Source organism: Homo sapiens, chromosome 9, assembly GCF_000001405.40.
Source record: "Homo sapiens chromosome 9, GRCh38.p14 Primary Assembly".
In the NCBI taxonomy this organism is placed as follows: Eukaryota; Metazoa; Chordata; class Mammalia; order Primates; family Hominidae; genus Homo; species Homo sapiens.
Window position 1 is genome coordinate 20,940,656 of NC_000009.12, and position 14,337 is coordinate 20,954,992.

General features: G+C 36.7%; 1 protein-coding gene across 19 annotated transcripts in view, besides 1 other annotated feature; it reads left to right on the forward strand.

Moving 5' to 3' along the window:
* Window positions 1-14,337, forward strand: part of FOCAD (focadhesin) — a 340,326-nt gene that overhangs the window by 285,031 nt on the left and 40,958 nt on the right. For all 19 annotated transcript variants that reach the window (XM_047423537.1, XM_047423539.1, NM_017794.5 and 16 more), the window contains 7 exons: window positions 3,972-4,119; window positions 6,046-6,165; window positions 7,616-7,738; window positions 8,196-8,273; window positions 8,949-9,020; window positions 10,341-10,443; window positions 12,330-12,410. In XM_047423537.1, the coding sequence (XP_047279493.1) occupies window positions 3,972-4,119; window positions 6,046-6,165; window positions 7,616-7,738; window positions 8,196-8,273; window positions 8,949-9,020; window positions 10,341-10,443; window positions 12,330-12,410 (725 nt within the window). The remainder of the gene's footprint in view (window positions 1-3,971; window positions 4,120-6,045; window positions 6,166-7,615; window positions 7,739-8,195; window positions 8,274-8,948; window positions 9,021-10,340; window positions 10,444-12,329; window positions 12,411-14,337) is intronic.
* Window positions 665-714: a silencer, noted in NCBI's record as "silent region_19803". NCBI's record gives its function as "represses an Ori minimal core promoter by ATAC-STARR-seq in GM12878 lymphoblastoid cells {active_cell/tissue: GM12878}" and the evidence as "EXISTENCE:reporter gene assay evidence [ECO:0000049][PMID:35858748]".

Below are 14,337 nucleotides of genomic sequence, written 5' to 3' on the forward strand. Positions count from 1 at the left end.
CATCTGTTTCTCATGGAGTTACATCCATGTCACAACCTAAACATGATACTGAAGTAGGAATCATCATCACTTTGGTTTACAGATAAAGAATGTGAGTCTCAGATAGGAGGCTTGTTTCAGGGTCATATGCTTAATAAGTGGCAGAGCCAAGAGAGAAACCTGGGACATCTGACTTCAAAGCCATTTTTCTTTCTTACATAACACAGTATGGATAACACATTTCAATAGAAGGAAAGCAGTTTGATGCTGGACAGTATACTGTGTATTTATTTTTTTTCTGACATGCAAGTGTCACCCACACTTTTTTTTTTAATATTTTAATTCTTCCTTCTGCTTTTTAACTAGACCCAGACCTGAAAGCCTGACTCATGATTTAAAGTATTCCCTTATCTAATGAGATTTCAGGAGTCTAGGGCAAGCCTCCCTCAAGTGAAACAGTGGAAGTCTTACTAGAAGGTAGTTAGTAGATGCGGGAGTGTACTCCCTCAAATGATAGAATTCACCCAGAGCAAATTCACCATGCTTCCCGATTTAATGGACATCTCCCTGCTGAAAGAACCCGCACACCTGGCCAGGCTGGTGTTCGTGAGCCTATCACTAAGATTTTACTGCCATCTAGTGGTAGCTCATTGTGCCATTGTGATCCTCACAGCCGTAACTGTAGTCATGCAGTCATCAATGACCCAAGCTTTGGTTAATTACTACTGAGCTTTTAGAAATGCGATAACATTTGTATAGCGCTTTGTAAAGGGCAAAGCGCTATATAAATGTTAACTGTTATTAGAACTAATTATTAGATGGCCTAGTACTTAATCTGCAGGATTGCCTACAGTAAACTAGGGAATTGAAGATTCATCTCTGATTAATTTTAAAAAATATATATCTGAGTTGATGCAGCAACACAAATATCAGAATTGCTTAGCTTTTAAGTTTCAGGATTTCTTTTGCTGGTGATATTTTAATATACTCTGATAATAGATTCAAATAAGTAATGACATAATAGTGTATGGAATTTAAAAACTCAAATTATCTTTATCATTTGTTAGCACTCTTATAGAACATTTATGTTAGCAACTCCAAAGTTCAGTTTCATACCCAATATTATAATTTGTTTTTATTTCCTCTGTTGGAGACACCAACACTTAACTCCTTTTTGCTTTCAGTGGACAGAAAGTTATAAAAGCTACCTCTGCCCAAGCTATTCTTGGTTCAAAGCTGGCAGACATATCAAAGAGAAGCTAGAATGAGGTAAATATGTGGAATTGCTGAACTAAGCACCTGGGGGAACATTTTAAGACTTAGAACAAGAATAAACACATTAAAATATAGAAGATTTAGAAATCAGAGGGAAATCAGGAATAAAGTTTTAGGACTACATTATTGGTGCATACTGGAAAATTGAGATGAATGAGAGGGGACCTATTCAGAGGGGCAATAGATGTATATGCCATAGCATGTATATACATACACTGTTATATATTCATATGTTACACCAGTCACTTAACTGCCGCTGTAGCAATGAATAGAATCGCTAGTGAATTATAACGTTGCTCAGGTTATAGTAATAATTGCTATGATAAATTTTAGGTAAATGTGAACTAGAAACAGATGTGTTTTTCAAAGCCTTAATACATCTATCTCCTGAGATGATGAAAGAGGGGCTTCAATCTAGGGGATAGAGATATTTATGTGCCCAGGATAGCCTGAAAAGCAAGACTTACATACTTCCTTGTTTATTCAGAAAGTTAAACCCTATTGGAATGAGCTTTGAGAGGAATTTGTTTTCCAGATGAGCCCAATATTCCTCTTTCTGAAATTAGTCTGGCAAGAAACAGAAACTGAATTTTCTTGGTTGAATCTTGCATGATACGTTCAGTGAATTTTACTACTTATAAAATTTGCCTACTACTAAACATAAGAATCAAGCCTTGCTTTTTTCTTCTTCCTCTGTAGATCTTCTCTCTACTCTAGACTCTTAAAATTCTTCATTTGGTTAGTTCTTCAGCTTTCAATAAATACTGGTTGAGTGCCTGTATACGCCAAGCAGTATACTAGGTGCAGCAGATACTGTGGTAGGGAAAAAAACAGAAAAGGTATACCCACCCTTATGGAGCTTTCAGGCCAGGGAAGAGATAATAATCAACCAATACCCCAAATAATTTTCATCAGAGTTTATAATTAAAATTGTATGAAGTAAATTAGCACAGGGTGCTGTGGGAGAGTATTAAAGAGGCTCTCTGCTGGGCGAGAGATGATGTCTCTGAGGAAGTAACATTTGAAATCTTAAGCATAAGTAGCAGTTAAATAGTCAAAGAGAGAACAACAGTCAAATGTGTCTAAGTATTAATCAAATTTTGTCTAATTATATCTTTGGTCTAATTCTGTCAAATTGTTATATGCATCAATATACAAAGATAGCCAAAAAACTTCCCTGTAGATTCTAAATAATAGCAAAGGCTTTACATTCATATTAATCAAGAGTAGCCTTTCCTCTTCCGTAAATGTGATTAGTCTCAAAAGCATGTTCTATTGAGATCTTAGATGTTGATTTAACTGGTTGAAAATGCATTGAGCTTGTTAAGTTTACGAAGCTGTAACAGCAGTTCTGCCTGACTAATGATGGATTATTACTGTAGTAGCTTCTTTACGAAGGATTTTTGAATGGCTGATCGTTATGCAACAGAAACTAGAAAAACACACTTGAGATACGGTGCCTTCTCATACGTATTCCATCATGGCACCATGAAGGGCACTGAGAGGGGCTTTGGGTTTGGCAGATGGGGCAGAAGGCTAGGAATAAAAAAAATCCCCTTGTATTGGCCGTGCTCTGCTGGATGCTCTCTGTGTGACCTTGAGCAAATCCTGTAGCCTGTCTATCCTTCTGGGTATCTTCTTTTAGGTGTGGGTGCTCCATTTGCACGTTGGGGGAAGTAAGTAACATGTTCATAAAATTATGCAAATGTTCTTGACACTGACCAAGGGGGTAGATGCTGTTTAAGAGCAAAATGACCTAACATGTGGGCATTGAGATACATTATTGGAGAAATGCCCTGGAATGTCTTCTTCGGCAGCAGATATCATGATGAGAGGCAAGGCAAGCCAGAGTAAGGGTGATTTCTGAAAAAACATTGCATTTTCTCCATTTAAAAAACAATGACAAAAGCTTTTTTTCTTTAAAGTAAAGCATTACCACAAGCTGCATTATCTTACCATACTATCTTGAAGTTTTCTGAGAGAACAATTATTTTCTTTAAATGGATATGTATTCATTCAGGAGAATTGGGGGCACAAAGCCCTAGATTTCAATTGAATTGTCACATGGGGTAACTTTTGACAAGCCTGTCATTTGTCCATTTTCTCTTCTGACCCAGTGGTATTCTGCAAGATCAGAGGGGAGAGAAGGATTAATGTCATTGTGCACAAACAGTTTCTTTAGGAAAGAAATTCCACTTGTTGAAGTTGACTAGGAAACATGAAACACTTAGTAGTACCTCATAATCATGCCTTGCATTTATCTTCTTTGCTATTAGTCAGATATCCTCAGCTCACATCCTGAATTTTAGTCTTTTCTCTCCTTATGCAGCTGATCACAGTATACTCAACATGCAGGTAGGGGTGTTGCAGGGAAAACTACAGCATTTCTGTAAGGGCACAAATAAAGCTGGTTTATGCCTTTTCCTCTTCTCACCCATAAAGTTTAAGTCAAACTATTTCCTGCCTTTTGTTTTTATCTAGGGGGTGTACAGCACTAGCATGGGCCACAGATACATGTTTTGATGTCAGGTTTTCATTTTGAGGGGAGAGGTATGTGTACTTGTCATGGATGATGGGGCACACCATCTACTAGGCAGCAGAATTTGAATCCAGCCATCTCACCAAGGTTTGAGAGCTCTGTAAACACCCGTGGTAAGTGAAGAGCAATTGTGTGGATTTCTTATGATCCTAACATCTTATCTTTTTTGGCTTCCAAGCACGGGCTGTATATTGGGAGTTGGACTTGTTCTGTCCCTCATGAGCCACAGCAGCCAAATGCAGTCCCGCGTTCACGTAGCAGCATTGCTCCGGAAGCTGTCTGCGCACGTAGATGACAGCGGGAGCCAGAGCAGAACGTTTCAGGAGGTAAGAGATGGAGGCTACATTTTTTTCCCCTCTGCTCTCTTTTGTTTTCTTCTTGCCACTTATTTTGGACTTACCATATTTTGGTAACCCTATAAATTAAATTCTTCCTCAAAGAGAAAATCTGAATGACAAACAACCAATATTAGATCATAAGGTTTTCATATTATGTGGCAGTTTAAATCAACTTAAACCTAAATGTGGCATATAAGATAAGAGCCTTTAGTGAATACAAAACCTAACTCAGCATCACTAGAAGGCACTTTCTAAGAAGAGCTGCAATTTCTGGAAGAAGGTTAAATCGAGATTTTTAGAATTGTGCTCAAGCCAAATATAACTTTCAAAAATGCCCAGGAATAAGCTTCAGAAACTGCTGATCAAAAGGCGTTTGATTTTTTAAAATGTCAGCTAGCATAAAATATTATTGAGAAAATTCGCTTTACCACACTTAGAGAAAAGTTTTTTTCTGTTGTGGTGCAAAAATATGCAGAATTGGAGTTCATGTGATCCAGTTCATGGGTGTTAACCATGTTTTTAGATGGAACATTTCAGGCATGTGTCATGCCTGTCTCTATTTTGCCCAGGTGAAGCTGGACCGCTTGTACTCTTCTTTGAGAGGAGCAGGGTATGACCTCGTGGCCTGGCCTGATTCTCTCTCTCATTAGAACAGATTCTATTTTATCCCAGCCTGCCCATGAGCTATTGATGAGTACATAATGGCTGCTGTGTTTCCCTGCTCAGCTCCTCTGCTTTCAGCAATAGGACTTGTTGAATTGGTGAATTTCTTTGGGCACAGAGGAATGAAGTTTTGTTCTAAGACATGCACTACATTTCCATTTTTAAAGCAGTGTAGAGTGTGATTTTAAAGTACGTATTTTTTTTAAGCCAAAAGAGTAAATCTTGCAACCTAGGAGCAAATTAATTATAAATGAAAGCAATGTTTTTATAACTGATGCATCTGTAATGTTTTGATTTATAAGGCCTTAAGCAAGCAGTTTTTTTTTCTCCCCTCTGATGTTTTATTATTCAACTTCTGCCTTAGAAACCACTTATATTTTTCATGCCATATCAACCAGTGCTAGAAGTTGAATTTTCTACTTTGTCTTAACAGCATTCTTATAAGGGAGGTTTTTTATCACGAAAAAAGGAGGTAGCAGAGAGGGGATGACTAAATTTGATGTGCAAAAATTGAGACTCAGATAGATTGGGTGACTTGCCCAAAGTTACTACGCTAGTAAATGGTCAATTTGGGACATATTCCCAAATCTTGGCTCCATTCCCACCATTGTTTTTTACCCATATTTTATTTATTCATTCATTCATTCATTCATTCATTCATTCATTCATTCATCAACATATTAAGTTCCCACACTAGTGCTATGAGGCAGGTATTAGTATTCCTATTTTATACAATTTATCTGACTCCAGAATCCATATTCCTGTTCCAGTTATGCTCCACTACTTCTCCTAGGGAATCTTAATGGAGCAGTGTTTCACTTCTTTGAATTTCCTATCCTGTTTGGCCTTGGATGGGAATGCATGGCAATTAATTAGTAGCACCCACTGGTGATGAAAATCTGTTTCCTTCTGCTGTTGATAGGTGCTGTGCTCTGGCATAATGTGGTGAAGAAATTTACTATTATGAGTCTAAAGACCTGGGCTTGAATCCCTCCTTTGTCACTTGCTAGCTACATGAAATTGAGCTTCAAAGTTCTTATCTATAAAGTAGGAATAATCATACCCATCATGACAGTGTTATGAAATATTACAATATAAGTTAGGCAGAAAAACAGTGCCCAATCCATGGTAAATGTATGTGAATCCAATTCTTACTCTGGGGGGGAGTTTGACAGAATATCTTGTCAACTAAACCGAGTTCTTTTATTTTTCCTCCTGAAGACATATTTTTCTGCTGTATTTTCTTCTCAGGTCCTTGCCTACACACTTAGCTGTGTATGTACATCAGCGTTCAGTGCTGGAATTATTGAGGCTACAGAGGCTGAGGATGTTATGAACAAGCTTCGACTGTTAGTGGAGAATAGCCAGCAGGTTGGAACGTGTGCCCTGATTATTTCTCTCTGTGGGTCTCATGCTGCTGCTAAGTTTTGCTTTTGACTTACTCTGAATTAGAGTATAATGGGATATTTTTCATGTCTAGAACTGAGGAACTTCTAACTATTCTCTTTTCTCACAGCTGTAGCCAAAAGTCACAGATGTCTTTTTCTCTCCTTATCCCCTGTCTCATTCTGTGGACATTTCTTTTTCTTTGAGAGAGTATTGATATGCTTTTCTCTCTCTCTCTCTGACATTGCTCTATAGTTATAAGATCATAAAATATATGGCTAGGGAATATAAGAGTTATGTAAAGTTAGAAACAAAAATTTGTGACGATATGAATACATAGAAGTCTCTGATAAAGTCAAACTTCAGAAAATTCAAGGCAGAAAATCTCTACTCATGACCAAATATGTATAAGAAAATTTAAGTACCTATAAACTAAATTAAGTAACCTTAAAATGTTTCCTGTGAAATATTATTCAACCTTAAAAAAGAAGGAAGTTCTGATATGTACTAGAACACGGATGAACCTTGAAGGCATTATGCTAAATGAAATAAACAAATAACAAAAAGCAAACACTGTGTGCTTTTACTTACATGAGCTGCGTAGAGTAGTCAAAAGCATAGAGACAGAAAGTAGAATGGTGGTTGCTCGGGCCTACAGGAAGGGAGGAATGGGGAGTTACTGTTTAGTGGGTAAAGAGTTTCAGTTTTTCAAGGGAAAGATTCTGGAGATGGATGGTGGTATTGATTGCATAGCAGTATGAGTGTACTTAATGCCGCTGAACTGGTATTCACAGTAAAGATGATAAATTTTAAGTGTACATTAATACAATTTAAAAAAACTGAAAAAAAACATTTTATCTGATTACACATGCTATAGAATTTCCCCATGTGGATTTTTTAAAGGTTTCTCCACTGTCTTAATATTGATGATAATGGGTTATTGCAGAATTCATTGGTTTTAAGCTCGTAATGTTATCGTTACTGTTTTATGGTTATATACCCGCTCACTTACATTCAGAGTAAGTTGTGAAAAATTGAAATGTAGAATTTTTCATATACTTTGCTTTTTATGGGATGCTTTCTTTTTGTTTAGGAGTTGATTGACCTTGTGTGGTCTACCTTGGTTTTTTCACCCTAACCTCTTCAAATTGTTTGAGCTAAGCTGCTCAATAGTGCAGTATTACTTTCCTGAAATAAATTACTCACTGAAGCTGAATTCCTTGCAATTAGACCCTGCAGTTTATGATGCAAACCAGTCTAGATTAAAAAAAAACAAAAAACAAAAAAACACTTAAGTCTGATTTTTCATATGACAAATACAGCTTGTCATTAGGAAAGTTAGCACTAAAAGTGTTTATGTTGCTATTTATAAACATTCTAAATCTGTGTCTTTTTTTTTTCTTTTTCTTACCCCATTTTTATTTATTTATATCAGACTTCAGGTTTTGCCCTGGCTTTAGGAAACATAGTTCATGGATTGTCTGTGTGTGGACATGGAAAAGCTGAAGACTTGGGCAGCAAACTACTCCCTGCCTGGATCAGAATTGTTCTAACAGAGGTAGAGGTCACCTGTTGTATGCTATTTCATATTTTTATAATGGAAAAAGAACTACTTTATTGGATCATTTATAGGAGTTGCTGAGATATATACGTTAATGGTAAAAGAATAGGCAATTTTAAATGAAAGAGATCACATACTTTTAAATCCCTTATAAATAATGCATTCTGCCAACTATTATAATTTTTTTGAACTGGCTATTTTGTCTGAGTTTTAATTTTAAGACAACATTTTGTTTTTTGAAAAATAAAAGCAAGAATCCACCCATGATCTAACAACCTTAATCTGTTACTTTATTTTAGTCTGCTGCCATTTTTGGTTCAGTTATACAGGTTACGTTGACCCTATAAGTTTGGTACCAATTCGACCATTTATTTCTCCGTGTCCTCAGAAGTTTTATAGAATCTAAACCCAAGGACTGATTCCCTCTTTTCATATTCTGATGCTTTGTTTTCAGGGCACTCCCACAATGCTTTGTCTGGCAGCTCTTCATGGCATGGTGGCCTTGGTAGGCTCTGAAGGGGATGTAATGCAGGTAAAGAAAGGAACCATGGAGGGGAAGACATCTAAATATGTACATAGCCATAGCGGGAGAAGAATACCCAGTGTTTTAGTATGCTAAGAACAGAAGGATTTATGCTCATGGTAATAGTTACACCAGACTTTTTAATGCCTTGCTGTATGAATAATTGCACTTAACCAAGGATTATTTCTATAGAGGTTTGTTCTTTATTTAATTTGGTTTTTAGAGATTAAACCTGGCCAACTTAGGTGCTCTCCACAAATTTCCCTGCCTGAGAAAAGATGATTGAAGGATAAGAAATTTCAAAAGTTATTTGCAAGAAACTCCATTTTGCATCTTAATGTCTGATATATGTCTATGTGGTTGTTCTTTAACTTCAAAATATTTTCACAGTGGACATATATATGTGTAAGTTTATAAGTAATTCTAAAGGAGCTCTGTTTTTATGCATTAAAAGTTGATTGAGTGATTGCTTACATGCCACAGTGAACAGGTACCAGGAAATCAATGATAGATAAAGCATGGGGCCCTGCCTTTGAGGAGTTCATAGCTTATGTATTTGAAATAGAAGGACATAATGATAAACTGTTTTATAACTTAGAAGATGGATAGCTCATGCACCGGGAATATAACTCTTAACTTTTTTATGGGGGTGGGTGGGATGGGTATTTCTTCTTATTCTTTCAGCTGAAATCAGAAGCCATCCAGACCTCTCATTTTCAAGGCAGACTTAATGAAGTCATTAGAACCTTAACTCAGGTGAGAAAATGAATTTAAAATCCTTGGGTGGAAAACATATCCCCCTTTGTTGTCTTTTTTTCTATTACATGATACAACATGTTTTACCTGGAAAATGGGAAAGTCTCTGGTTATTCCCGCTGAGTTCAAGAGGCATTTGGGAGTGATGTGTGGACCTGTGTTAACTGACAAACATGCACTACCTTTGGGAAAAAAAGAAAGCTGGCATTTTTTTTAGTAAACTTAAGTTGGCATTGGTTTTTCTTAAAAATTAAAGCCTGATTCTGCGAGGAATGTCAGGCCCTAAAGATAAGGAAAAATAGAAGGTGATCAAAGGGCATGGCAGATCTTGGTAGAAAGGTCAAGAGGCACTAATTCAGATGTCCCTGATAAAAGTGTTTGGGCATATCATTTTAATTGTTATCCTTGACTAAAGAATAGACATATTAATCTCCTAAGAAATGTTTTTTTGTTTTAAGATTTAAAAAAAAAAGATTATGTTTGTTGCATAAAATTTGAAAGCACGTAATGAAAGAAGCTGAAAAAAATATCACTGATGGTCCTTCAAACCTGAAGCAACTGTTATTGATATTTCATCATACTTCTTTTCAAGTATTCTTTTGTTTGCATAGTTGGTATTCTTAGTGTATATAGAACTTTATATTTTATTCTTTTCATTTAGCATACTTGTTTTCGTTCTTGTAAAATGTGGCTGATGATAATACCTATCACATAAAGGAGTTTTAGTAATTCAGACTTTTAAAAGCAAACAAAAATCTCTGAACAGACAAAACTCTTTTTTGCATGTATGAATAGAAATATTCTCAAAAAATAATTCTACTGAAATTTAAGTTACCATAATGTGGGAGAAAAAATCTGTAAATGAAAATTATTATTTTAAAAATCCTTATGAATGATAAAGCAGCAGTAGAGCATAATTTACAGAAGAGAACAAAATGTATCTCCTTCCATTTTTAGAGGTATTTTCATCTTAAGTAACTGTCACCCCTTTTGTACTTTCTGGATTTTGTTCTTTTGCAATTTTTTTGAAAATTTATTTGAGACCAGTCTCACTCAGTGAAACCTGAGAAAACCACTAGTACTTTCTGCCATGATTAAATGATTGATTGAATCATTCATTCATTCAGCAGACAGTTGTTGAGTATCTATATGACACAGGTATAGCGTACTAGACACATGATATTACATCTTGTCATAGGACTGCTCGTTGCCAGCCAAGCCACCACCTCCTAAATGACTGGTGACTTTCTGTGAGTGACCTTTTATTGAATGGAACTTGGATCTTATCCCATCATTGAACTGTTACCTTTTTATTTGTAGGTCATTAGTGTCTCTGGGGTGATTGGTCTCCAGTCAAATGCAGTCTGGCTTCTTGGACATCTTCATCTATCTACTCTATCCTCAAGTCAAAGTAGAGCCTCTGGTAAGATTAAAGTCATAAAATACTGGAGCTGGAAGGGAGGGATTGCCGACCCAGCGCTCTGTAGTTTGTTAAGAGCATTAATCTTCACAACAACCCTAAGTAATGGGTATTACCATCTCTGTTTTACGTCAGAGGGAAATGGTGTATGGAAAGGCTTCCTGACTTACCCAGGGTCATGTGACAGTAAGTGATGGACATGTGGTTTGAACTCAGATCTTTTGGCCTCCAAAGCTCATACTCTTTTTACTCCTTCTCTCTGCCTCCCTTAGAGAACAGTTTAGACATTCAGTGTCCTGTATTTCACAAACGAAGAACTCATGGCTCGGAAAGATTACATGAGTTACATACAGAGTTAATTTGGTGACAAATCTAGAAACTAGGAACCAGGTCCTTAAAGCTTGGAACAGATTTATTTTACTAGATGTAATGGTAGTTTGTATAGTATTCATGTTTCATTAAAAGTCTCTTCATATATGGCTGGAGTTTTTCTGGCCTCCGATTTTGAAAAAATAATGGGGTAGTACATTTAAAGGTGTGTACCTTCTTAGCCTTGGAATTGAAATTCTAGGCCTTAATATGACAAGGCCTTTTCTATTTCTAGCTTTTTGGTAAAAGCAGTAAAAGATATTTGCAGTCCCGACATGCTTAATGTGCATTTGTACTTGGAGATTTTCTGGGGAAGGCATGACCGTTAATACATCTGCTCCTTGCTCTTTATAGAATTTTGACCCACTGGCTATCTTGGACCCAGGCCAGAGAGGTTCAGGTACCAATGATTCCTTATTAAAACTTAGTTTTACTTACCCACTGACAAGTAGTCTACAGATGGCATTAACGTAAATGTGGGCCTCTGAAATTACCATTTTCCTTTCTTTCAGTCATTCTGTAGCTATGGAAATAGGACAACTGGTCCACAGCCTTGGCAATGTAGTGAACTTTAGACAGCTAAAGTTACCATATTAAAATGGAAAAAAGAAGAAAACTTAGTCATACCGGAAGCCCTGGGTAATACTAGTTTTGAAGGGCAGGGATCTCACAGTGTCCTGGTAAGATAGGATATTTATGGCAGGCTTTTATTTTTTTATGTAGGCTTTTAATTGCCATATTATGGGGTACTTGGTCTGGCCTACATATACTCAAATCAGGTACTAGTGAATCATCTTATACCCAGGTTCTTCTGAACAAAATGATTGTGTATCTGGAAAAGTACAGCTACTTGTTCCTGATGGAATTTTCCAATTGAGTCATTTATTGCAGTAAAAACCATCTCATGAAACAATTATGGGAAACTGGAAGGAAAAGAATTTAGGAGAAACTCAGGATTCAACTAGCATAAATGTCACTGCTTCACCATTCCAGCTCAGCAACCACATCTGGTTATTTGCACATGTTGGTCACTTACAGGTCTCTGCCTTAGGTAAGGGATTGGTGCTGTTAGTACTAGTTGTTGAATTTCTATGGTTCATATATTCGATTCCACATGTCCTGAAGTGGCACCTACTACAGTGGTCTCAGCGTTGAAGCTCGGCAGACTCGTTGCTGAACGCTGAGGAGGTCACTGGATTAGGGCTTATTGATGTGACAATGTGGAAAGGGTTTTTTTTTTTAAACCACTTCACTCAAGTGTTCATCCTCCGTAATTTTTTTTCCAGACTTTTCTAACTTTGCCACCATTTTAGATTTGCTTACATAGCTTAAGTGATTACTTCAAGGCCAGTCACTTAATCTAATAGAATTAGTTGCAGCCACAAAGTGTTGTGCTGAGATTAATGGCATAAACATCTCCACTTTGTCTCTAGGTTGATATGGCAGCATGAGATCATTATCTTTCCTTCATTAGTCCTGCCAAGTTCACTGGTTAATTTGATCATTTTCTGTCTCCACAGTTCCTACTGACTATAGCTACTTGCCTGAAAGCAGTTTTATTGGAGCAGCTATTGGCTTCTTCATTACAGGAGGAAAAAAAGGCAAGTGAGCACATTTCTTGAATTTTATCATTCTATCTCCATGTTGTTATAAGTAAATTTGTGTACCCTAAGCATGCCTCTGTAGAATCAAGCAATATAAATCTGAAGGGGTGAATATTTTCGTCTGCTAAACCATCTTTGCAATAGAGATGACCAGCAGCTAGCTACAATAATTGGTACGTAAATATACACATTGTGTGGTTTCTTAGAATCACTGTCTCCGACCATGGGTGGCTCTGTGAAAATCTTAATCTCCCATTTGGCCCTTTCCAAAGTATAAGCACAGATTACTTTTCCTATCCATTTCAAGTGAGTGTGATCTAGAAAGAGAAAATACACCTGGGTGCAGTTTCTATCCCGGGATCTGTCTTGCAAGTAGATCTTCTCCCTGCATCTTTTATAATCATTCTGTGTTGTTGAAATCACTGGCTCTAGTTCCTATTTTTAGTTTGTGTTCTTTTCCTTGCACACATTTGAGCCTTTGTGATTCTGTATTGCTGCCACCCCCATTAAAGTACAAGCAACTTGAAGACAGAGATTGAGTGCCTTTTGTTTTTAACTGGAGCCAGAACAGTGCCATGTAACTTATTGAATAAATGCTCCTTAATAATACACATATAGTTTTCAGGGCTGTGAGGAAAAAATGGATTAGAACTGAACATGTCATGGCTCAGGAATCAGCTTCGTTACCGTGATATTCTTTCATTGATGGGTTTGCTAATTTTATTCTTCCTTGGCTAGGTCAGTCTTCCTTGGTTAGGTCAGTCTGGGCAAAATCAGTGCCTGTATTATAGCAAGACCATCCCAATTTTAGAAAGGAAAAAAATAAACAAAAAAACTGGAAAAAATCTGGAAGTGGCAGTTTGATTTGTGAGGGTCATGGAAGTAAAATGTTACCTTTGGAAGGGAAGTTAAATCTGTGTTGTCTGATTTCCCACTGGGTACAGTAATCCCTGGAGCTTCCAGATTTTGAATATTTTCATAGCCTGGAGACAAATTCCATTAATTTCTGGAGTTCTAGAATTTGTGCTATTATTCTAGGGTCCTGAATTAGCATGATTTACTTATCCTCAGTAAAAATTGACATATGGTTATGTCATTGTTGTACATGACATATTTATATATAAACAGATCATATATTACACGTAATGTACAGTTAGTTCATTGTTTATGTTACCATAAATTAAGTCTACTTAAAATAAATATTATAGTAGAGATGGCTTCATTAGGAGAAAATTCTTACTAAATGAGAATCTAAAATTTTCATGGCCAAACTAGTGCTAGGAATACATATATATTTCTGCTATATTTTTTGTTAGGTTGCTTATTGATATGAAATTTTAAAATGATGTGAGATATTTTCATGAGAAATAAAAGTAAAAACTCTTAAGGTCAAGTAGAAGATAGACTCTTTTTCTTTTCTAGTGAATAAAATGTTAGTCTAGCTCCCCAGATCCATATTTCTTGGCAGACATGAATTTTCTCTGAATCTTATTCAATCTTCGGTTGAATGTAACATTTTTATGATTCTGTAGTCATCATACAACAGGAAATGTTCTGCTATAAGGCTGAAAAATCAAGTGGAACTGGAATCAGTGTTGTTATGTGCAGTCTTGCTGAAAGCTGTTTTAAAACAAATAAATGAAGTATTAAGAATGCCATATTACCAATCAGATTTTTGGCATTTTCAGGTTGTGGGAGAGGGCTGTCGTCTTGTCAGGTTTGCTGACTAGATTCAGAGGAAAATCTATTCAGCCTTACACATTACTAATGATGACCCCAGAGGAGTGGGGGCCGTGGGAGGCTGACCTCCGCCTCCAAAGCCCATTTACAAAAACAAAACCAGACCCTGCTCTGTGGGGCTAAATGGGATGGCCAAATGCGGAGGTGTGCATGCAAACGAGTGTTTTCTTCTTCAATATACCCA